Raw genomic sequence first — 21,875 nt, 5'->3', positions numbered from 1 at the left:
CCCAAAGGGCTGAGATTACAGGTGTGAGCCACCGCTCCTGGCCAGAGGAAGAAATTCTTACCAGCCAAGTTTCTGGTCTCTCTCTCTCTGTATATGTTGTGTAAACGGTAAATGCCACTATTTGTCTTCTCTGCGAGGGTCTGATTAGTAGAAAAAAAGGATTTGTCAGACCAGTCTTAGGCTGTAGCAAATCTGGTGTACTTTATGCTAAGAATTTGTCTTTCTTTGTTGTTCTGTAATGAAGAGGGGAGTATCAGGGGATAGAACGTGGGTTTAGGATGCCTATAAGCCAAGTTTTCAAGCCAGCCCATCAGGCTGGTCATTTACAAATGTTGCTATGGGTCCCTGAAACCAATGCCAAATGACATTTCTCTGCCTTGTTTTGTGTCCATAAGAGCTTAACCTTGTGGCCATGTGGGGATACTTTATCTTGGTTTCTGCCATCTAGAGGACAGGAATTTTGGGGTTCATGTCATAGTTAGCCCTAAAAATTATCTTGAGCAGGCCGGTCGCGGTGGCTCACACCTGTAATCCCAGCACTTTGGAAGGCCGAGGCGGGTGGGTCATGAGGTCAGCAGATCAAGACCATCCTGGCTAATATGGTGAAACCCTATCTCTACTAAAAATACAAAAAAATTGGCCAGGCGTGGTGGTGGGTGCCTGTAGTCCCAGCTACTCGGGAGGCTGAGGCAGGAGAATGGCGTGAACCCGGGAGGCGGAGCTTGCAGTGAGCCAAGATCACGCCACTGCACTCCAGCCTGGGCAACACAGCAAGACTCTGTCTCAAAAAAAAAAAATTATCTTGAGCAGTTAAGAGCCTTTGAAATCTTGAATTTGGCTAGACTTCTTCTGGGAATAGCAATAGAAACTGCCCAGGGCTGGGTGCGGTGGCTCATCCCTGTAATCCCAGCACTTTGGGAGGCCAAGGTGGGTGGATCACAAGGTCAAGAGATCGAGACCATCCTGGCCAACCTGGTGAAACCCATCTCTACTAAAAATACAAAAATTAGCTGGGCGTGGTGTCACACACCTGTAGTCCCAGCTACTCAGGAGGCTGAGGCAGGAGAATCACTTGAACCCAGGAGGCAGAGGTTGCAGTGATCCGAGTCTGTGCCACTGCACTCCAGCCTGGCAACAGAGTGAGACTCCGTCAAAAAAAAGAAAAAAAAAAGAAGGAAACTGCCCAATGCTGTGTAGCTCAGTAGCTAAGGCTTTGTCCTTTGACAAGGGTGATCTGGGTTGAATTCTTGGCTTCTGGAATGATTCCTTTCTGGTTTGTTATTTGTGTAACTTTGCCATTATTAAGGTTATTTTTCCCCCCATAGATAGCTTCTGATTTCCTGTCTTGGATTTTCTTTTCTCTAAGCTACCCTTGGGGAGATTCTAAATGTTGTTTAAAAAAAAAAAAAAAGAGGAACTGCTGGCCAGGCACGGTGGCTTATGCCTGTAATCCCAACACTTTGGGAGGCCAAGGTGGGTGGATCACCTGAGGTCAGGAGTTCGAGACCAGCCTGGCCAACATGGTGAAACCCCATCTCTACTAAAAATACAAAAATTAGCTGAGTGTGGTGGCACATGCCTATAATCCCAGCTACTTGGGAAGATGAGGCAGGAGAATTGCTTGAAGCCAGGAGCCAGAGGTTTCAGTGAGCCGAGATGGAGCCACTGCACTCTAGCCTGGGTGACAGAGCAGGACTCTGTCTCAAAAAAAAAGAAAAGAAAAGAAAAGAAAAGAAACAAAATCACCATCCCAGACCCCTGTCAATATCACCATCTGCCCATCCCTCAAAGTCATCTGCCCCCCACCCCCAGAGCTCTGGTGGCTGTTCAGGTTGCTTGTTTTGGCCAGCTTCCTCACTAGCCTTGAAGGCAGGACTGACAGCTTGTTCACTGGTGTGTCTCTCATGTGCCTAGAAGACTTTCAAATATTTTTTTAAATGCTGGGATTTCCTAAATCGGAAAGGAAAAACTTCAGAGTCATTTGGACAGGTTTATTGAAGCTGAGCAGTTTCCCCATAATCTAGATGACTTCAGGTTACACGCTGTGTGGCTCTCTCCAGCCACGAGTCCTCGTCGCCAAATGGGATAGATAAACGTCTGTTCAGTCTGCAATATAATTTGGCATAAAGCTGCAGCCACAAGTGGGCTCTGCTGCTGGATGTGGATCAGGCTCTCTGGAATGTCTGTTTGCACACTTGACCTTCACAGAACATTTCCTAGGGCGTAAGGAGGAAGGGAAAAAGAAGGATCAGTTTGCATGTGGTCTGTTTTTACTCTCAACACTTATTTTTTATTGTGTTTTAACCCTTTTCTGGAACATGTTTTTTTCTTTTATGAGATGGGGTCTCACTCTGTCGTCCTGGCTAAGTACAGTGGTGAGATCTCGGCTCACTGTAACCTCTGCCTCCCAGGCTCAAGCGATCCTCCCACCTCAGCCCCCAAAGTAGCTGGGACACTGCAGGCACGTGCCATCATGCCCGGCTAATTTTTGTGTTTTTTGTAGGGACAGGGTTGCCACTGCCTAGGCTGGTCTTTTTTTTTTTTTTTTTGAGATGGAGTCTCACTCTGTAGCCCAGGCTGGAGTGCAGTGGTGCAATCTTGGCTCACTGCAACCTCTGCCTTTAAGCGGAATTGCCTTCAAGCAATTCTTCTGCCTCGGCCTCCTGAGTAGCTAGGATTACAGGTGTGTGCCACCATGCTCTGCTAATTTTTGTATTTTTAGTAGCGACGGGGTTTCACCATGTTGGCCAGGCTGTTCTTGAACTCCTGACCTCATGATCTGCCCGCCTCAGCCTCCCAAAGTGCTGGGATTACAAGCATGAGCTACTGCGCCTGACCCCTAGGCTGGTCTTGAACTCCTAGCCTCAAATGATTTTCCTGCCTTGCCCTCCGAAAGTGCTAGGATTATAGTTATAAGCCACCACACCTGGCCTACTCTCAACACTTCTGACACCAAAGGTGTGGGTTTTTAAACGCCTGACACCAGTTGTGTGATGTCTTTTCCAGTCCCACTTCTCCAACTCTCTGACACCAACCAAGTGTCCAGTAAGCCAATTTAATTTGGGCACTAACTACCCAGAGTTAGCACAGACTGCATAGGTTAAGGATGCAGTCTCACGAGACTCCCCCCAGCTTCAGACACCTGTCGCAAATTTGGGACCTCCCATATTTCTGACTGACCAGCTACAAATCAGGTTTTCCCACAACCCCTCCTCGGGCTTGATAATTTGCTAGAAGGGCTCACAAAACTCAGAAAGTCCCTTTACTTACTATTACCAGTTTATTATAAAATAAACAACTCAGAAACAGCCTGATGGGGCCGGGCGCACATGCCTGTAATCCCAGCACTTTGAGTGGCCGAGGCGGGCAGATCGCCTGAGATCAGGAGTTCTAGATCAGCCTGGCCAACATGGCAAAACCCTGTCTGTACTAAAAATACAAAAATTAGCCGGGTGTGGTGGTGCATGCCTGTAATCCCACCTACTCAGGACACTTGAGACAGGAGAATTGCTTGAACCCAAGAGGCGGAGGTTGCAGTGAGCCAAGATTGCGCCACTGCACTCCAGCCTGGGCAACAGAGCAAGACTCCATCTCAAAAAAAAAAAAAGAAAAAAGAAAGAAAAGAAAAGAAAAGAAACAGCCTGATGGAAGAGACGCATAGGGCAAAGTAGGAAGGGGGAGCACACAGCCCTCCCAGCACCTCAATGTATTCACCACACACATGAATGTTCACCGTTCAACATGGAAGCTCTCTAAACCCCGTGGTTTAGTTTTTAGTGGATGTTTCAGCACATAGGCATGACTGATTAAGTCAATGGCTATTTGTGATTAGTTCAATCTCCAGCCCCTCTTCCCTCAGGGATGAGGCTGAAAGTTCCAACCCTCTAATCATGCCTTCGATTTTCTGGTGACCATCCCCCATCCTGAAGCTATCTAAGGACCCTCAGTAGACAGTCATGTCGTTAACACACAAAAGATCTTTTTTTTTATTTGGAGACAAGGCCTTACTCCTTTTTTATTTGGAGACAGGGTCTTACTCCTTCGCCCAGGCTGGAATGCAGTGGTGCAGTCATGGCTCACCTTAGCCTCAACTTCCTGGGCCTAAGTAATCCTCCCACCTCAGCCACCCAAGTAGCTGGGACTACAGGCACCCATCACCATGCCCAGCTAATTTTTTTTAATTTTTTGCGACGGAGTCTTGCTCTTGTTGCCCGGGCTGGAGTGCAATGGCGCGATCTCGGCTCACTGCAACCTCCACCTCCTGGGTTCAAGTGATTATCCTGCCTCAGCCTCCTGAGTAGCTGGGACTACAGGTGCCCGCCACCACACCCGGCTAATTTTTGTATTTTTTAGTAGAGACAGCATTTCACCATGTTAGCCAGGCTAGTTTCCAACTCCTAACGTCAGATGATCCACCTGCCCCGACCTTCCAAAATTCTGGGATTACAGGTATGAGCCACTGCCCCCAGCCAATTTTTTGTAGAGACAGAGTCACACTATGCTGCCCAGGCTGGTATTAAACTCCTGGACTCCAGTGATCCTCTTGCCGTGTCCTCCCAAAGTGCTGGGATTACGGAAGTGAACCACCACACCCAGCAACCAAATATTTTTTAATATATCATGGTGGCTGGGCGCGGTGGCTCATGCCTGTAATCCCAGCACTTTGGGAGGCTGAGGGGGGTGGATCACCTGAGGTCAGGAATTTGAGACCAGCCTGACCAGCATGGTGAAACCCTGTCTGTACTAAAAATATAAAAATTAGCTGGGCATGGTAGCGGGCGCCTGTAATCCCAGCTACTTGGGAGGCTGAGGCAGGAGAATCACTTGAACCCAGGAGGAGGAGGTTACAGTGAGCTGAGATCAAGCTACTGCACTCCAGGATGGGCGACAGAGTGAGACTCTGTCTGAAAAAAAAAAAAAAAATCATGGTAAGTAAGAAGCATTCCATGAGTATCCTTAGAACAAAAGTACTTCTGTGCCCTGCATGGGCAGATTTCCAGGGTATGCTAGAGAAGGATGTACACATTTGGTATTTCTCTTTTTTTTTTTTTTTTTTTTGAGACAGTTTCACTCTTGTCATCCAGGCTGGAGTGCCGTGGCGCGATCTTGGCTCTTGGCTCACTGCAACCTCCTCCTCCCAGGTTCAAGTGATTCTCCTGCCTCAGCCTCCCGAGTAGCTGGGATTACAAGTGCCTGCCACCACACCAGGCTAATTTTTGTATTTTTAATAGAGACGGGGTTTCGCCATGCTGGCCAGGCTGGTCTCGAACTCCTGACCTCAGGTGATCCACCTGCCTCGGCCTCTCAAAAGTGCTGGGATTACAGGTGTGAGCCACCATGCCCAGCCTTCCTTTTCTTTTTTTTTTTTTTTAAAGACAGGCTAGTCCTACGTTCCCCAGGCTTGACTCAAACTCCTGGGCTCAAGCAATCTTCCCGCTTTGGCCTATCCAGTAACTGGAACTACAGGCAAGTACCACCACACCCAGCTGTTGTGCATAATTTGAACATTACCTCTTACAAACCAACTAATCTAAATCCTCAAACATATGTATATATTCTTTGAAATTCCATATTACGTATTTGCGAAGGCAAGTTTCTTACTTTGTTTTTTTTTTTGGAGACAGAGTCTTGCTGTATCCCCCAGGCTGGAGTGCAGTGGCATGATCTTGGCTCACTGCAACCTCTGCCTCCCGGGTTCAAGCGATTCTCATGCCTCAGCCTCCTGAGTAGCTGGGATTACAGGTGCCTGCCACAGCCCGGCTAATTTTTTTTTTTTTTTTTTTTTTGAGATGGAGTTTCACTCTTGTTGCCCAGGCTGGAGTGCAATGGTGCAATCTCGGCTCACCGTAACCTCCTCCTCCCAGGTTCAAGTGATTCTCCTGCCTCAGCCTCCTGAGTAGCTGGCATTAGAGGCATGCGCCACCACTCTCAGCTGATTTTTTTTTTAAATATTTTTTAGTAGAGACGGGAGTTTCTCCATGTTGGTCAGGCTGGTCTCAAACTCCCGACCTCAAGTGATCCACCCACCTTGGCCTCCCAAAGTGCTGGGATTACAGGCATGAGCCACTGCGCCCGGCTCCGCCCAGCTAATTTTTGTATTTATAGTAGAGATGGGGTTTCATCATGTTGGCCAGGCTGGTCTCGAACTCCTGACCTCAGGTGATCCGCCTGCCTCAGCTTCCCAAAGTGCTGGGATTACAGGCGTGAACCCGTAATCCCATGCCTGACCTCTTACTTTTTTATCGTCAGAAGAGTGTGAGATTTGTCCATCTAGAATCAAAATATCTTCAAGGCCTTGGTATTCAAAGACTACCCAGACCCAACTTTAAGGACAGTGCTCTAGTTTTGTTCTCATGGGTCTCACCTAGATTTCACACATACAGTGAGGCAAAAAAGCACAGAGCTGAGAGCACACATTCTTGTCAGACCTGTATTTGAATCTTCACCCTACAGTGTGAAAATACGTAATTCACAATCAAAGCTGATGAAACTTTAAATTATTTTGAGTCTTAAAGGAATGTGATTGTGGGACCTGAGTCATGTGAAAGGCCGCTGTAACCTAGACAGCTATAACCTTAATTTCTCTGGTTATAGATTAGCCTTTTTCTTTACCTACACTGTTTTGTAAAAAACTAAAGGGCACCAGAGAAGACTTCCCTCTACTGTTGATCTTAATTACAGACTCACTTCCCTGTTTCTTCTCTCTTTTTTTTTCCCAAAGCAGGTGAACCTCTTCCTTCTCTAATACAAAGACAGATGACTATCACGTTGTCTAAGATGGAATGTTAAATATACTCTTAAGATGACAGCAAGAATGAGGGGGAAGAAAAATAAAATAAAGAATGTTAAATATATTCTTTAAACTGGAAAGAAAAAGGAAAAAACTGAGTGGTAACTAATCAAATTCCTGTAACTCATAAAACAGCTTTGTATAGAAAATGTTGTAATCCTGCGAAATTTCTTTGTTTTCTGTCTGTCGGGTGGCTCACGCTTGTAATCCCAGCACTTTGGGAGGCCAAGGCGGGCAGATCACCTGAGGTCAGGAATTCGAGACCAGCCTGGCCAACATGGCAAAACCATGTCTCTACTAAAAATGCAAAAATTAGCTGGGCATGGCCGGGCATGCTGGCTTACACCTATAATCCCAGCACTTTGGGAGGCCGAGGTGGGCGGATCACCTGAGGTCGGGAGTTCAAGCCCAGCCTGACCAACATGGAGAAACCCCGTCTCTACTGAAAATACAAAATTAGCCAGGCGTGGTGGTGCATGCCTGTAATTCCAGCTACTTGGGAAGGCTGAGGCAGGAAAATCGTTGAACCCGGGAGGTGGAGGTTGTGGTGAGCCGAGATCGCACCATTGTACTCTAGCCTGGGCAACAAGAGCGAAACTCCGTCTCAAAAAAAAAAAAAAAAAATTAGCTGGGCATGGTGGCGGGTGCCTGTAATCCCAGCTACTTGGGAGGCTGAGGCAGGAGAATCCCTTGAACCCAGGAGGTGGAGGTTGCAGGGGGCCGAGATTGCGCCACTGCACTCAAGCCTGGATGACAGAGGGAGACTCTGTCTCAAAAACACAAACAAAAACAGGCCAGGCACAGTGGCTCACGCCTGTAATCCCAGAACTTTGGGAGGCAGAGGCGGGTGGATCACCTGAGGTCAGGGGTTTGAGACCAGCCTGGCCAATATGGTGAAACCCTGTCTCTACTCAAAATACAAAAATTACCCAGGTGTCGTGGCATGCACCTGTAGTCTCAGCTACTTGGGAGGCTGAGACAGGAGAATTGCTTGAACCCAGAAGGCAGAGTTTGCAGCGAGCTGAGATCATGCCACTGCACTCCAGCCTGGGCAACAGAGCAAGACTCCATCTCAAAAACAAAACAAAACAAAACAGGCTGTAAAATAATAGTTGTCAGCACATGGCCTCTAGGGAATGTTTTGGAGTGATTGACTTGTCTGAAACTGGATAATGGGAATGGTTGTACACCTGTATACATTTACTAGAAATTATCAAACTGTACACTTAAAACAGGTGCATTTTTTGGTACATAAAGTATACCTCAATAAAGCCATTAAAGAAAAACACCTCAAGTCCAACAGCTTAAAAGTAAAAGAAGAAAAAGAAAAAGAAAGGAAAAGAAAAACTCCAAGAATTACATTCCAAGAAATTAAATTTTTATTACAAGCGGCCACGCCTGTAATCCCAACACTTTGGGAGGCCCAGGTGGGCTGATCACTTGAGGTCAGGAGTTCGAGACCAGCCTGGCCAATATGGTAAAATCCCGTTTCTGCTAAAAATACAAAAACTAGCTGGGTGTGGTGGTGCATGCCTGTAGTCCCAGCTACTCGGGAGGCTGAGGTGGGAGGATCGCTTGAACCCAGGAGGCAGAGGTTGCAGTGAGCTGAGATCACACCACTGCACTCCAGCGTGGGTGACACTGGGTGACAGAGGGAGAGACTCCATCTCAAAAAAAAAAAAAAAATAAGACATTAACTTTTCAGCTTGGGTGTACTGACCCCATTTCTTTGGAGTCTGTGTTTCCTGGGTGGCCATTCTCATCTTCATGCCTGAATAAACCCTTATTTTGTTTTATTTTTTTTTGAAACGGCCTCTGTCACCAGGCCGTAGGGCAGTGGTGCGATCTTGGCTCACTGCAACCTCCGACTAACTGGTTCTAGCAATTCTCCTGCCTCAGCCTCCCAAGTAGCTGGGATTACAGACATGTGCCACCATGCCCAGCTAATTTTTGTATTTTTAGTAGAGACGGGGTTTCACCATGTTGGCCAGGATGATCTTGATCTCCTGACCTCGTGATCCGCCCACGTCAGCCTCCCAAAGTGCTGGGATTACAGGCGTGAGCCACCTCGCCCAGTCTGAATAAACCCTTTTAAACTGGATTCTGATGCTTCTGACAGCAGCCTTGGGGAATTTCAAAATCCCAATTTATTTGTGAATGGGAAAAATGGCGTCCTTTTCACAGGGTTGTGAAGATTAGATGAGATAATGCACTCAAAGGATTGAGCACAGTAATTGGGCCCAAAATAATCACTCCAAAGATGTGAGCTACTATATCTATCTATGCATATCTATGTATACATAAAGTAGCTATTACATATAATAGGTAAGAATTGTTCCATGAGTATTTGCATGTTATCTTCCTGCCTCTGTCGGAATATTCGGCTGTTTCATTTAATATAAGATGAGAGTGAGTATAGGCATGCGCCACTATGCCCGGCTAATTTTTGTATTTTCAGTAGAGATGGGCCAGGTGTGGTGGTGGCTCATGCCTGTAATCCCAGCACTTTGGGAGGCCGAGGCGGGTGGATCATGAGGTCAAGAGATCGAGACCATCCTGGCCAACATGGTGAAACCCCGTCTCCACTAAAAATACAAAAATTAGCTGGGTGTGGTGGTGCGTGCCTGTAGTCCCAGCTACTCGGGAGGCTGAGGCAGGAGAATCGCTTGGACCCAGGAGGTGGAGGTTGCAGTGAGCCGAGATCGCGCCACTGCACTCCAGCCTGGTGACACAGCGATACTCCATCTCAAAAAAAAAAAAAAAATAGTAGAGATGGGGTTTCACCATGTTGGCCAGGCTAGTCTCCTGACCTCAAGTGATACACCCACCTCGGCCTCCTAAAATGCTGGGATTACAGGTGTGAGCCACCACGCTTGGCCTGATGTTTCCTTTAATACTGTATCATCTCATTAAGAACAAAATGTGGTGGATACCAGGTGGAGTTTGTCTCCTTCGATCCAATGGGTCCAGCCTCTGTTCTTCTTTTCTCCCTTCTGGATACAGGTGAGCCTGTCATTGTCCCAGATAACCAAACTCTGCATGAAGAGAGGAGAAAATGTTAGCTTGTCCTGGCAGGATCCTCAAGTGTTACGAAGTAGAATGCCAAGTTACCCTTGCAAAATCAACAGCCTACTTACTGCTTTTTTTTTTTTTTGAGATGGAGTCCCACTCTGTCACCCAGGCTGGAGTGCAGTGGCACGATCTTGGCTTACTGCAACCAACCTCCACCTCCCGGGTTCAAGTGATTCTCCTGCCTCAGCCTCCTAAGTAGCTGGGATTACAGGCTCCTGCCAGCACGCCCCCCTACTTTTTGAATTTTTTTCTGTAGAGACAGGGTTTTGCCGTGTTGCCCAGGCTGGTCTCAAACTACTGACCTCAGGTGGTCCGCCTGCGTTGGCCTCCCAAAGTGTTAGGATTACAAGCGTAATCCACCGCACCTGGCATTTCTTTACATTTTACCTTGCATTTTCTGTTGTCCAGGCCTCTGTTATCTTCATCAAATTCTTCTCCAACTTTAAATTTCACAAAGTAGTTCCTTAGGCTGCTGTTCGTGTGGATGGTAAAAGAATCCCCATTCTGCTCAATCACTTTCTGTGGCTTCAGCAACTTGGCTATTTTACGAGTGGCAAAGTCAATACCTTAAAAATAATTTTTAAAAATATTTGAACATTCGCTTGAGATACAAAAGTGAAGAATTTGGTAGCTGTTCTCAAAATCACCACATGTAATTGTTAGCATTTCCTGTACGACTTCTATGTTGTTTGCTGCCAAAATCAGATCTACAAGGAATCGTCTTGGCAAACTGCCAACCACAGCCTGATTAAAAAGTTTGCAAATGCCAGGTGCAGTAATTCCAGCACTTTGGGACACAGAAGACAGGAGGATTGTTTGAGCTTAGGAGTTTGAGACCAGCCTGGGCAACATAGCAAGACCCTGTCTCTATAAAAAAATAAAAACTGTAGGCCAGGTGCAGTGGCTCACACCTGTAATCCCAGCACTTTTGGGAGGCTGAGGAGGGCGGATCACCTGAGGTCAGGAGTTTGAGACCAGCCTGATCAACATGTAGAAACCCCATCTCTACTAAAAATACAAAATTAGCCGGGCATGGTGGCACATACCTGTAATCCCAGCTACTTTGGAGGCTGAAGTAGGAGAATTGCTTGAACCCAGGAGGCGGAGGTTGCAGTGAGCCAAGATCACACCACTGCACTCCAGCCTGAGCAACAGAGCGAGACTCCATCTCAAAAAAAAAGAAAGAAAAAGAAAACCAAAGGGACAGGGCTTAGGCCCCCCAACCCAGCCTCAGTCATAACTCTGCCTTTTTCTGCCTTATGTATTTACACTTTGAATTAAGAGAGCATTTGAACAGTTTCTCAACAAGAATGAAAACAAAACTCAAAAACCACTGGATTCATGTATATACCTCTCTCTCTCTCTCTCTCTATATATATATATACACACACACACACACACACACACACGTATATACTTTTTTTTTTCTTTTTTTTTTTCCGAGACACAGTCTCACTCTGTCGCCCAGGTTGGGGAGAGCAGTGGCACGATTTCAGCTCACTGCAACCTCCACTCCCGGGTTCAAGCAATTCTCTTGCCTCAGTCTCCTGAGTAACTGGAATTACAGGCTTGCATCACCACACCCAGCTATATACTACTATGTATTTATAATTTTTTTCTTTTTTTGAGACAGGATCTCATTCTGTCACCCAGGCTGAAGTGCAGTGGTGCAATCATGGCTCACTGTAGCCTCAACCTTTCAGGCTCAAGTGATTCTCCTATCTCAGCCTCTCGAATAGCTGGGACTACAGGCACATGCCACCATGCCTGGAAATGTTTTAAATATTTTTTTGTAGAGATCAAGTCTCACTATGTTGCCCAGGTTGGTCTCGAACTCTTGGGCTCAAGCAATCCTCTCACCTCAGCCTCCCAAAGTGCTGGGATTACAGACATGAGCCACCCTGCTCGGCTAGAATTCTTAAATAAGCTTTAAAGAAGAGTTCCACAGGGAAACATGGAATGCTAAGAAGATGAAGATCAGGGTTTGGAATCCCAGTTCCACTTACTGCCTTTGAGCATATTATGTAGCTAGAAATAAACACCACTATTTTAAATAATGGCCAGGTGACGTCTCAGCGGGGAGCTGAAAGAAGTAAAGAATCAAGCCACACAGATTTCTGGGAAAATAGTTTAAGGCAGAAATCCAGGGAGCCCTGGGACTCTGAGGAAGGGTGTGCCAGTGTGTTTCGGGAACTCTGAGGAGCCTAGTGTATCTGCCGCAGAATCGGGGAGAGGGAGGAGGAAGGAGAGGAGTTAGAGATGAGACGTGATTCTGCCAGCCGTGGTGGCTCATGCCTGTAATCCCAGCACTTTGGGAGGCAGAGGCAGGTGGATCACCTGAGGTCAGGAGTTCAAAACCAGCCTGGGCAACATGGCAAAACCCCATCTCTACTGAAAAACAAAAATTAGCTGGGCATGGTGGTGCACCCCTGTAATCCCAGCTACTCGGGAGACTGTGGCAGGAGAATTGCTTGAACCCAGGAGGTGGAGGCTGCAGTGAGCCGAGATCGTGCGACTGCACTCCAGCCTGGGCAACAGAGCAAGACTCCGTCTCAAAAAAAAAAAAACCCAAACAACAACAACCAAAAATAAAACAATAGTATAAATGTCCTCATCCTAAGAAAAAATTTTTGTAGCCAGGCACAGTGGCTCATACCTGTAATCCCAACACTTCTGGAGGCCAAGGTGGGAGGATCACTTGAGCCCAGGAGTTCAAGACCAGCCTGGACAACATAGCAAGACCCCATTTCTATAAAAAAATAAAAACAGCTGAGGCTGGGCATGGTGGCTCACACCTGGGTCGGGCTGAGGCAGGAGAATCAGTTGAACCCAGGAGGCGGAGGTTGCAGTGAGCTGAGGTCGAGCCACTGCACTGTAGCCTGGGGACGGAGTAAAACTCCATCTCAAAAACAAACAAATGAACAAACAAACAAATATCTCAAAAAAACAGCTGGGCATAGTGGTACATGCCTGTAGTCTCAGCTGCAAATAAAAAAGCTTGTGTGTGTGTGTTTAAATCTAGAACTCCAGTTTTTAGTTTGAGATGCAATATGATCCAGGCTTTACTGGTTTTCAACAATATTTAAATATTTAAGTATTGAGACCAAAACCTTAAAATCACTTCCTATTATTATTATTTTTTTGAGACAGGGTCTCATTCTGTTGCCCAGGCTGGACTGCAGTGGTGCAATCTCGGCTCACTGCAGCCTTTGCTTCCCAGGCTCGAGAGATCTTCCCACCTCAGCCTCCCAAGTAGCTGGGGCTACAGGCATGTGCCACCACACCTGGCTAATTTTTGAATTTTTCTTTGGTAGAGATGAAGTTTCACCATGTTACTCAGGCTCATTTCCTATTATTAATATGACCAAGCCAAACTTACTGCTGACTTTCCTTAAACCCTATTATGTAAGCAAATCAAAACCCAATAACTTTAGACTAACAATGAGTTTAGAGTTACGCTTTTAAAATCTGTGAGGCGCCGGGCACGGTTGCTCATGCCTGTAATCCCAGCACTTCGGGAGGCCGAGGCGGGCAGACCAACGCGACCAGCCTGACCAATATGGAGAAACCCCGTCTCTACTAAAAATACAAAATTAGCCGGGCATGGTGGCGCATGCCTGTAATCCCAGCTACTCCAGAGGCTGAGGCAGGAGAGTCGCTTGAACCTGGGAGGCAGAGGTTGAGGTGAGTTGAGATTGCACCATTGCACTCCAGCCTGGGCAACAAGAGGGAAACTCCATCTCAAAATCAATCAATCCATCAATCTGGCTGGGCGCAGTGGCTCATGCCTTAATCCCAGCACTTTGGGAGGCAGAGGTGGGCGATCACCTGAGGTCGGGAGTTGGAGACCAGCCTGACCAATATGGAGAAACCCCGTCTCTACTAAAAATACAAAATTAGCTGGGCGTGGTGGGGCATGCCTGCAATCCCAGCTACTCAGGAGGCTGAAGCAGGAGAATTGTTTGAACCGGGGAGACGGAAGTTGCGGTGAGCCGAGATCCCGCCATTGCACTCCAGCCTGGGCAACAAGAGCAAAACTCCATCTAAAAAAAAAAAAAAAAAAAAAAAAATTGTGAGGCAGGCCAGGCGTGGTAGTTCACACCTGTAATCCTAACACTTTGGGAGGCTGAGGAGGGCAGATCACCTGAGGTCAGGAGTTCGAGACCAGCCTGGCCAACATGGCAAAACCCCATCTCTACTAAAAATACAAGAATTAGTCAGGCGTGGTGGGGGGTGCCTGTAATCCCAGCTACTCGGGAGGCTTAGGCAGGAGAATCTCTTGAACCCGGGAGGTGGAGGTTGCAGCAAGCTGAAATCTCGCTACTGCACTCCAGCCTAGGTGACAGAGCAAGAATCCATCTCAAAAAATAAATAAATAAAATAAAATATGTGAGGCAATTTGTTGTTAGCAAATTTACAATTTGCACTACTCATGTAGGGCAGGTGAGCCCCAGAGCGGGGATTAGCCTGCAGAGGTTCTTGGCTTTGCCCAGGAAAGAATTCAAGGGCAAGCCAGAGGGAGAAGAAAACAGCTTTATTGAAGAAGCAGTGTCACAGCTCTGTGACTGCTCCCGCAGAAAAGAGCTACCCCATAGGCAGAAAGTAGCAGCTCAGGGCAGTTTTGTAGTCATATTTATACCCACTTCTAGTTACATGCAGAGTAAGGGGTGGTTTTTTTGTTTTTGTTTGTTTGTTTGTTTGTTTATTCAGACAGAGTTTTGCTCTTGTCACCCAGGCTGGAGTGCAATGGCAGCACGATCTTGGCTCACTGCAACCTCTGCCTCCGGATTCAAATGATTCTCCTGCCTCAGTCTCCTGAGTAGCTGAGACTACAGGTGCCCACCACCACGCCCAGCTAATTTTTGTATTTTTGGTAGAGATGGGTTTCACCATGTTGGCCAGGCTGGTCTCGAACTCCTGACCTCAGGTGATCCACCCACCTCAGCCTCCCAAAGTGCTGGGATTACAGGCGTGAGCCACCATGCCCGGCTAACGGGTGGTTTATGCAGACATTTCTAGGGAAGGGGTAGTAACTTTTGGGTCCTCTGGTCATTGCCATGGAAAGGGGTGCTAACTCCAGGTGTTGCCATGGCAATGGTAAACTGATATGGCACACTGTTTTATGTGTTTTATGAAAAGCTGCTTCCATCCTATCCCTGTTTTAGTTAGTCCTCAGTTTGGTCCGCTGTCCCAAGCCCCGCTTCTGGCTTCTGGAGTTGAGCCCTGCCTCCTACCTCACTACCATGTTGCAACATTGTCACTTCACAGATTTGCAGTTACAAGGCTGGCCTCTTTAAATACCAAAATTTACTTTGAATTAGCATAAGTTCTGGGCCAGGTCCAGTGGCTCAGGCCTGTAATTCCAGCACTTTGGGAAGCCGAGGCAGGCAGATCACTTGAGGCCAGGAGTTCAAGACCAGCCTGGCCAACATGGTGAAACCGCATCTCTACCAAAAAATAAAATAAAAATTAGCTGGGCATGGTGGTGTGCACCTGCAGTCCTGGCTGCTGGGGAGGCTGAGGTGGGAGGATCGCTTGAGCCTAGAAGGAGGAGGTTGCAATGAGCCAAGATGGTGCCACTACACTCCAGCCTGGGCAACAGAGTGAGATCCTATCTCAAAAAATAAAAATAAAATAAAATGAATAAATTAGCATAAGTTCTGGTCACTTTCTGCCAGGTCCACACTTACTAGAACCTCAACAGTCCAACAGTCCAAAAGGCCATATTCCTCATAAGGCTGTTACCCAGGTCAAGCCATGCTTTTTCATCTACTAGATTATGTTAAATAGAAAATAAGACATTCGAGTAGGAGGGAACAGCCTGATGCACGTGCTATTACAAATGTGTGAGCATATACACCTGAAGGTAGGATCTCAAAGGAGTCCACACAAACGTACATTTATCTAAGCTTCAGATGTTTATATTAACCTTCAATCTCAAAGCCACTTCTAATCTCAAGGCAATGTGGGTTGAAGGCAAGAAGGGATCCCTTTAAATCCCAGTGTAGGGCCAGATGTGGTGGCTCATGCCTGTAATCCCAGCACTTTAGGAGGCCGAGGCAGGCAGGTCACCTGAGCTCAGGAGTTCGAGACCAGCCTGGCCAACGTGGTGAAACCCTGTCTGTACTAAAAATATAAAATTAACGGGGTGTGGGGGCGTGTGCCTGTAATCCCAGCTACTTGGGAGGCTGAGGCAGGAGAATTGCTTGAACCCGGGAGACGGAGTTGCAGTGAGCCAAGATCCGTGCCACTGCACTCCAGACTGGGCAACAAAGGGAGACTCTGTCTCAAAAATAAATAAATAAATAAATAAATAAATAAATAAACTAATTAAATTAAATAAATATATCCCAGTGTACACAGTAATCTGGGACAAGTTAGTAACACCACCACCTTCTTGGGTTCATAACAGGACTAAAGGCGAGGACTTGCACAAGTTAGTCAATATCTGTGGGCATTAACATGGGGCTTCTCCATTTCTGAAGCACGCACCTTCAGTGTCCTTGGCTGCTGTGGGGGTACACCAGGAACTCCCAAATCCCAGGTTAGCTCCAAATATTAAAACCCAAGCAAGGCAGAGGCAGGAGGATTGCATGTGGCCAGGAGTTTGAGACCAGCCTGGACAACACAGCAAGACACCGTCTCTACAAAAAAATTGAAAAATTGGCCAAGTGTGGTGGTATGCACCTGTTGTCCCAGCTACTTGGAAGGCTGAGGTGGGAGGATCGCCTGAGCCCAGGAAGTGAAGGCTGCAGTGAGCCATGATCGCACCACTGCACTACAGCCTGAGCGACAGAGCAAGACCCTATCTCAAAAAACCCAAGTAAACTTGCTTCTTTGTGCAAAGACAAGCTGCCTTTCTTCTCACTGCGGTTTGGCAAATGCTGGGAGAGAGTGATGCCAGAGCCCGGGTGGGAGCTGCAGGATCAGTTCCTGAACACTAGTTTTTAGACAAAAGGGAGTGATTTTCTGCCCTCAAATGAGATGCCAGCTGGAGCACATCATGAGATGTGTGCTGTGTATTTGCTGGTGACTTATTTGACCCTTAGCATCACTGCCAACAGGCATTTACCTCACTTCTACTACTAAAAAAGAGGCAATCAGCCAGGCACGGTAGCTCACGCCTGTAATCCCAGCACTTTGGGAGGCCAAGGCGGGTGGATCACGAGGTCAGGAGTTCAAGACCAGCCTGGCCAAGATGGTAAAACTCCGTCTCTATTAAAAATACAAAAATTAGCCAGGAGAGGTGGTGGGCACCTGTAATACCAGCTACTCAGGAGGCTGAAGCAGGAGAATTGCTTGAACTCAGGAGGCAGAGGTTGCAGTGAGCCGAGATCGCACCACTGCACTCTAGCCTGGGCAACAGAGAGAGACTCCATCTCAACAACAACAACAAAAAAAGAGGCGATCATTTATTATTTTCCTAGACCCTACAGTTTAAAGATCTAAGTACTATATCTGTGATTTTTTATGGAATGTATTTTCCTTACATGTACATGAACAAGCATATAAATTTAAAGTTAATTATATATTCAAGTAAATCAGTAAAATTCAAGATTGCTAGCTGAATTTTTTTTTTTGTCTTATTGACTTATTTTTTTTGAGACCAAGTCTCATGCTGTTGCCCAGGCTAGAGTGCAGTGTCGTGATCTGGGCTCACTGCAACCTCCACCTCTCAGGTTCAAGCGATTCTCGTGCCTCAGCCTCCCAATTAGCTGGGACTACAGGCATGAGCCACCATGCCTAGCTAATTTTTGTACTTTTAGTAGAGATGGGGTATTTCACCATGTTGGCCAGGCTGGTCTCAAACTCCTGACTTCAGGTGATCCACCCACCTCGGCCTCCCAAAGTGCTGGGATTATAGGCGTGAGCCACCTGCCCAGTCTGCTAGCTTAATTATTTTTTTTCAAGATGGAGTCTTGCTTTGTCTCCCTGGCTAGAGTGCAATGGCGCAATCTCGGCTCACTGCAACCTCCACCTTCTGGGTTCAAGCAATTCTCCTGCTTCAGCCTCACAAGTAGCGGGATTACAGGTGCATGCCATCATGCCCAGCTAATTTTTTGTATTTTTAGTAGAGGTGGGGCTTCACCATGTTGGCCAGGCTGGTCTTGAACTCCTGACCTCATGATCCACCTGCCTCAGCATCCCAAAGTGCTGGGATTACAGGTGTGAGCCACTGCACCCAGACCAACTTAATTCTTAAGATAAAATGTATTATAGTATTATGGCTGGGCACAGTGGCTCACACCGAGATCGCGCCACTGCACTCCAGCCTAGGCAATAGAGCCAGACTCCATCTAAAAAAAAAAAAAAAAAAAAAAGAGTATTACAGTATTATGTAAACAACCACTCTAGTGCTATAAGTGTGACCTAAGTACTTAGCACTTTAACAAATTGATGTAAGTACTTAGTACTTTAACAAATTAGATCTGAAGTTGAAACACAGTTGCTGGTTTTCAGAAAACCGTTCTGGATTTAAGGGTTTCTGGATAGGCGACCTCAGAACATGGCACCTTATGTCCATTTTCACGCTGCTGATAAAGACATATCCAAGAGTGGGTAACTTATTATTATTATTATTTTAGACAGAGTTTCACTCTTGTTGCCCAGGCTGGAGTGCAATGGCACCATCTCAGCTCACTGCAACCTCTGCCTCCTAGGTTCAAGTGATTCTCCTGCCTCAGCCTCCCAAAGTAGCTGGGATTACAGGCGCCCGCCACCATGCCCAGCTAATTTCTTTTTGGTATTTTTAGTTGAGACGGGGTTTCACCATGTTGGCCAGGCTGGTCTTGAACTCCTGACCTCAGTTGATCCACCCGCCTCAGCCTCCCAAAGTGCTGGGATTACAGGCGTGAGCCACCGAGCCTGGCAAGAGTGGGTAACTTATAAAGAAAAAGAGGTTTAACTGCCGCAGTTCCACGTGGCTGGGGAAGCCTCAAAATCATGGCAGAAGGCAAAAGGCACGTCTTACATGGTGGCAGGCAAGAGAGAATGAGAGCCAAATGAAAGGGGAAACCCCTTGTAAAACCATCAAATCTCATGAGACATTCACTACCACCAGAACAGTGTGGGGAAAACTACCCCATGATTCAATTACCTCTCCTCAGGTCCCTCCCACAACACATGAGAATTATGGGAACTACAACTCCCATGAGATTTGGGTGGGGACACAGCCAAACCATATCACTTGGCATTTGAGGAAATAACAGTAGCAGGAAGGTCCCCCTCAGACCTTCTTTTGCCCCTCTTCCCTGAAGCAGGCCATAAAAGAATTCTCTGCTCTTCCTCTGAAGAAGATCATAAGACTCTCAAGTGAGAGGTGCTTTTCCCATACCCAGAGGAACACTCTTATCTCTTGGGATATGAAAGAGCAAAATAAATGCCCCTTTATCAACTAAGATGGGCCCTAAGGTTAAGAAAACAAAAATTGGCCGGTGCGGTGCCTCACGCCTGTAATCCCAGCACTTTGGGAGGCCAAGGTGGGCAGATCACGAGGGCAGATGTTCGAGACCAGCCTGGCCAACATGGTGAAACCCCGTTTCTACTAAAAAATACAAAAATTAGCTGGGCGTGGTGGCGGGCGCCTATAGTCCCAGCTACTCGGAGAGGCTGAGGCAGGAAAATGGCGTGAACCCGGTAGGCGGAGCTTGCAGTGAGCCGAGATCGTACTACTGCACTCCAGCCTGGGCAACAGAGCGAGACTCCGTCTCAAAAAAAAAAAAAAAAAAGAAAGAAAGAAAGAAAGAAAAAAAGAAAACAAAAATTGCCCACGGGTCAAGGGTTCAGGGATTGGCCGGCACGGCAACTTCCCAGATTCCTAAAGCTACAAGAAAAACTACACTCGTGGCAGGGCGCGTGGCTCACACCTGTAATCCCAGCACTTTGGGAGGCCAAGGCGGGTGGATCACCTGAGGTCAGGAGTTGGACACCAGCCTGACCAATATAGTGAAACCCCTTCTCTACTAAAAGTACAAAATTAGCCGGACGTGGTGGCTGGCGCACGCGTGTAATCCCAGCTACTTGGAAGGCTGTGGCAGGAGAATCGCTTGAACCGAGGAGGCGGAGGTTGCAGTGAGTTGAGAGTCCGCGCACCGTTGGCACCGCGATGAGGGCGGGAAGCACAGCGCGGGGCCCCCGGGAGCAAGAACGCCGCGGGCACCCAGCCCTCGTGGGAGGCGGCGGTCGGGGCACGCCCCGGGCCGAACCAGGCTCTGCACTCCCGCGGGTGCCCGGACCTGAAGGGTCGTCCGCTGGCTCCAGGATTCTGCATCCCCGACCCGCTCCGGGTGCGCCGAGGCTGCTGGGACTTCGCTGCGGGAGCGCGCCCGGGGCCCCGGGGCCTGCACGGAAGGCGGCTGCGGGGAGGGTGGCCGGGCAGAGGCTTCGGTCCCGGGCGCCCCCTCCCCGGCCGGACCCCCCTCCCCGGCCGGACCCCGAGTCTGCAGTCTCCGCAGGTGTGCCGCGTGCGGGTAGAGACGGACGTGGGGCTGGACGCGGGCACTCAGGGACGGACGGGTGGGGGACCGACGGCCGGGGGAACAGAGGGCGTGGAGAGACGGCCGTGGGGACAGGGGGGCGGGTGGGCGCGGGAAAGGACGGACTGGGGGACTGAAGGACTGGGGTCCCGCGCCCGATGGACGGAGGCGCCAAGGACCAGCGGACTCGGGGGCGACTGGGCGACGGTGGGCGCAGCAGGGCGGAGGCACGGACAGAGGACGTACCTACAGGCCCGGCCCGGCCGCCTTCGCCTGATCCCGAGACCCACGGCGAGCCTCGCGCCGCCGCCGCCTCCCCTCCGCCTTACCTAGGGCCAGCATGTAGCCCTCGAAGTTGTCGCTGCTGAGCAGGGTCCAAGTACCGCTGAGGTCGGCGGGCATGGTCGGGGATCGCGGGACAAACCCGGCGGGCGGCCGGAGGCTCGGGCCGGGACCTATAAACCAGGCGGGGCGGGGCAGGGGGGTGGGGCCGCGCGCGGGAGGAGCAGGTGGGGCCGCGTGGGTCCCACTCACCCCTAGAAGCCGCTGCGCTCCCGGCCGCCTCAGCCCGGTGCTCCTGGCTCTGCCCACCGCGCGGCAGCTTCCCCCTTTCCTTGGGGCTTCCTCTCCTACTGCTTTCTCATGTCCCAGACTGTTTCGGGCCACATTTTCTTCCCTGCTTATATGTTAATGACCCAGGGATGATCTTCAAACTCATGGCATTGAATATTGTCAGCTTCAATAACAATATACCTCTCAACGTAACTCTCATGGTCTCAATAAATAGGAGTTTATTTTTCTTAACAAGGAGTCCTGAGAGAAGTGATTGCTGGTGATGATTCGCACCTAGGAATCACAGTGATTCGCACCTCGGTAACGCCGCAGCTTCGTCTCTGTGACTCTGGTGGCCTTTTATTCCTGCTTGTTACCTCCTGGTCATGAGCTGGCAGCTGGGTTCCCAGCCAGGACATCCACATTCAAGGTAGGGAAGAGGGAAAGCACCAAAGGTCAGTATCCCTGCAGCACAAACCTCCCCATCTCCTATAAGTCTGGATAGTTGGAAAAAAGAAAAGAAATTACCCAGCAGGTTTCTGTGTACATTTCATTAGCCAAAACTGTATCAATGCCACTTCTAACTGCAAGGGGGCCTGGGGATTCTAGTCTGCAGCATTTAGCCTCAGAGCAGAGAAAAGCAAAGGAGAAGGGGTGGGAATATGGGCTAACCTACAACATTAGCCACAAACACCGCCTAGATATGCTGGCTCCAAGACTGACTTATTGATTTTATTTTTATTTTTTTTCTTTTGAGACAGAGTCTCACTCTTTCTTTTTTCTTTTTTTTTTTTTTTTTGAGACGGAGTCTCGCTCTGTGCCCAGGCTGGAGTGCAGTGGAGAGATCTCGGCTCACTGCAAGCTCCGCCTCCGGGGTTCACGCCATTCTCCTGCCTCAGCCTCCCGAGTAGCTGGGACTACAGGCGCCCGCCAACACGCCCGGCTAACTTTTTATATTTTTATTAGAGACGGGGTTTCACCGTGTT

The 21,875-nt window shown here is 48.3% G+C and overlaps 3 protein-coding genes across 4 annotated transcripts in view, besides 2 other annotated features; 1 reads left to right on the top strand and 2 right to left on the bottom strand.

The window, feature by feature from the left end:
• Positions 1-1,976: 1,976 nt before the first annotated feature.
• On the bottom strand, positions 1,977-20,770 carry RBP7 (retinol binding protein 7). Of its 2 annotated transcripts, NR_138250.2 has the most exons (5): positions 20,667-20,770; positions 13,691-13,905; positions 10,250-10,428; positions 9,724-9,825; positions 1,977-2,216 (listed from the first exon to the last, which is right to left on the bottom strand). NR_138250.2 is itself a non-coding variant. In NM_052960.3 (4 exons), the coding sequence occupies exons 1-4, from the start codon at positions 20,737-20,739 to the stop codon at positions 2,166-2,168; spliced, it is 405 nt and encodes a 134-aa protein (NP_443192.1). In that variant the 5' UTR covers positions 20,740-20,770; the 3' UTR covers positions 1,977-2,165. The 2 variants fall into 2 exon arrangements, 1 of the variants encoding a protein (NP_443192.1); NM_052960.3 differs by lacking the exon at positions 13,691-13,905.
• Positions 10,501-10,701: a silencer, noted in NCBI's record as "peak63 fragment used in MPRA reporter construct". NCBI's record gives its function as "represses an SCP1 promoter by STARR-seq MPRAs in K562 erythroleukemia cells {active_cell/tissue: K562}" and the evidence as "EXISTENCE:reporter gene assay evidence [ECO:0000049][PMID:32103011]".
• Positions 18,821-19,021: a silencer, noted in NCBI's record as "peak62 fragment used in MPRA reporter construct". NCBI's record gives its function as "represses an SCP1 promoter by STARR-seq MPRAs in K562 erythroleukemia cells {active_cell/tissue: K562}" and the evidence as "EXISTENCE:reporter gene assay evidence [ECO:0000049][PMID:32103011]".
• Positions 19,909-21,279, top strand: LOC124903840 (basic salivary proline-rich protein 2-like). The gene is made up of 2 exons (XM_047436754.1): positions 19,909-20,316; positions 21,146-21,279. The coding sequence occupies exons 1-2, from the start codon at positions 19,968-19,970 to the stop codon at positions 21,277-21,279; spliced, it is 483 nt and encodes a 160-aa protein (XP_047292710.1). The 5' UTR covers positions 19,909-19,967.
• Positions 21,106-21,875, bottom strand: part of NMNAT1 (nicotinamide nucleotide adenylyltransferase 1) — a 53,970-nt gene continuing 53,200 nt past the window's right edge. Inside the window, exon 5 of the mRNA XM_017002108.3 lies at positions 21,106-21,287. Within this exon, the coding sequence (XP_016857597.1) occupies positions 21,274-21,287 (14 nt within the window). The 3' untranslated portion in view covers positions 21,106-21,273. The remainder of the gene's footprint in view (positions 21,288-21,875) is intronic.

The sequence above is a fragment of the Homo sapiens genome, chromosome 1 (genome assembly GCF_000001405.40).
Source record: "Homo sapiens chromosome 1, GRCh38.p14 Primary Assembly".
Taxonomy (NCBI): domain Eukaryota; kingdom Metazoa; phylum Chordata; class Mammalia; order Primates; family Hominidae; genus Homo; species Homo sapiens.
Note: the sequence above shows the minus strand (reverse complement) of the source record. Positions and strands in the feature narration are given on the sequence as shown.

What these genes read in the sequence shown, in the direction of transcription:
- LOC124903840 (XM_047436754.1), top strand. Translation starts at nt 19,968, where the DNA reads ATGAGGGCGGGAAGCACAGCGCGGGGCCCCCGGGAGCAAGAACGCCGC. An exon ending in CGAGTCTGCAGTCTCCGCAG is followed by an intron (nt 20,317 to 21,145) that starts GTGTGCCGCGTG and finishes TTTCTTAACAAG; the next exon opens with GAGTCCTGAGAGAAGTGATT.
- RBP7 (NM_052960.3), bottom strand. Translation starts at nt 20,739, where the DNA reads ATGCCCGCCGACCTCAGCGGTACTTGGACCCTGCTCAGCAGCGACAAC. An exon ending in GGGCTACATGCTGGCCCTAG is followed by an intron (nt 10,429 to 20,666) that starts GTAAGGCGGAGG and finishes ATTATTTTTAAG; the next exon opens with GTATTGACTTTGCCACTCGT. An exon ending in AAGGAGACAAACTCCACCTG is followed by an intron (nt 2,217 to 9,723) that starts GTATCCACCACA and finishes CTTACGCCCTAG; the next exon opens with GAAATGTTCTGTGAAGGTCA.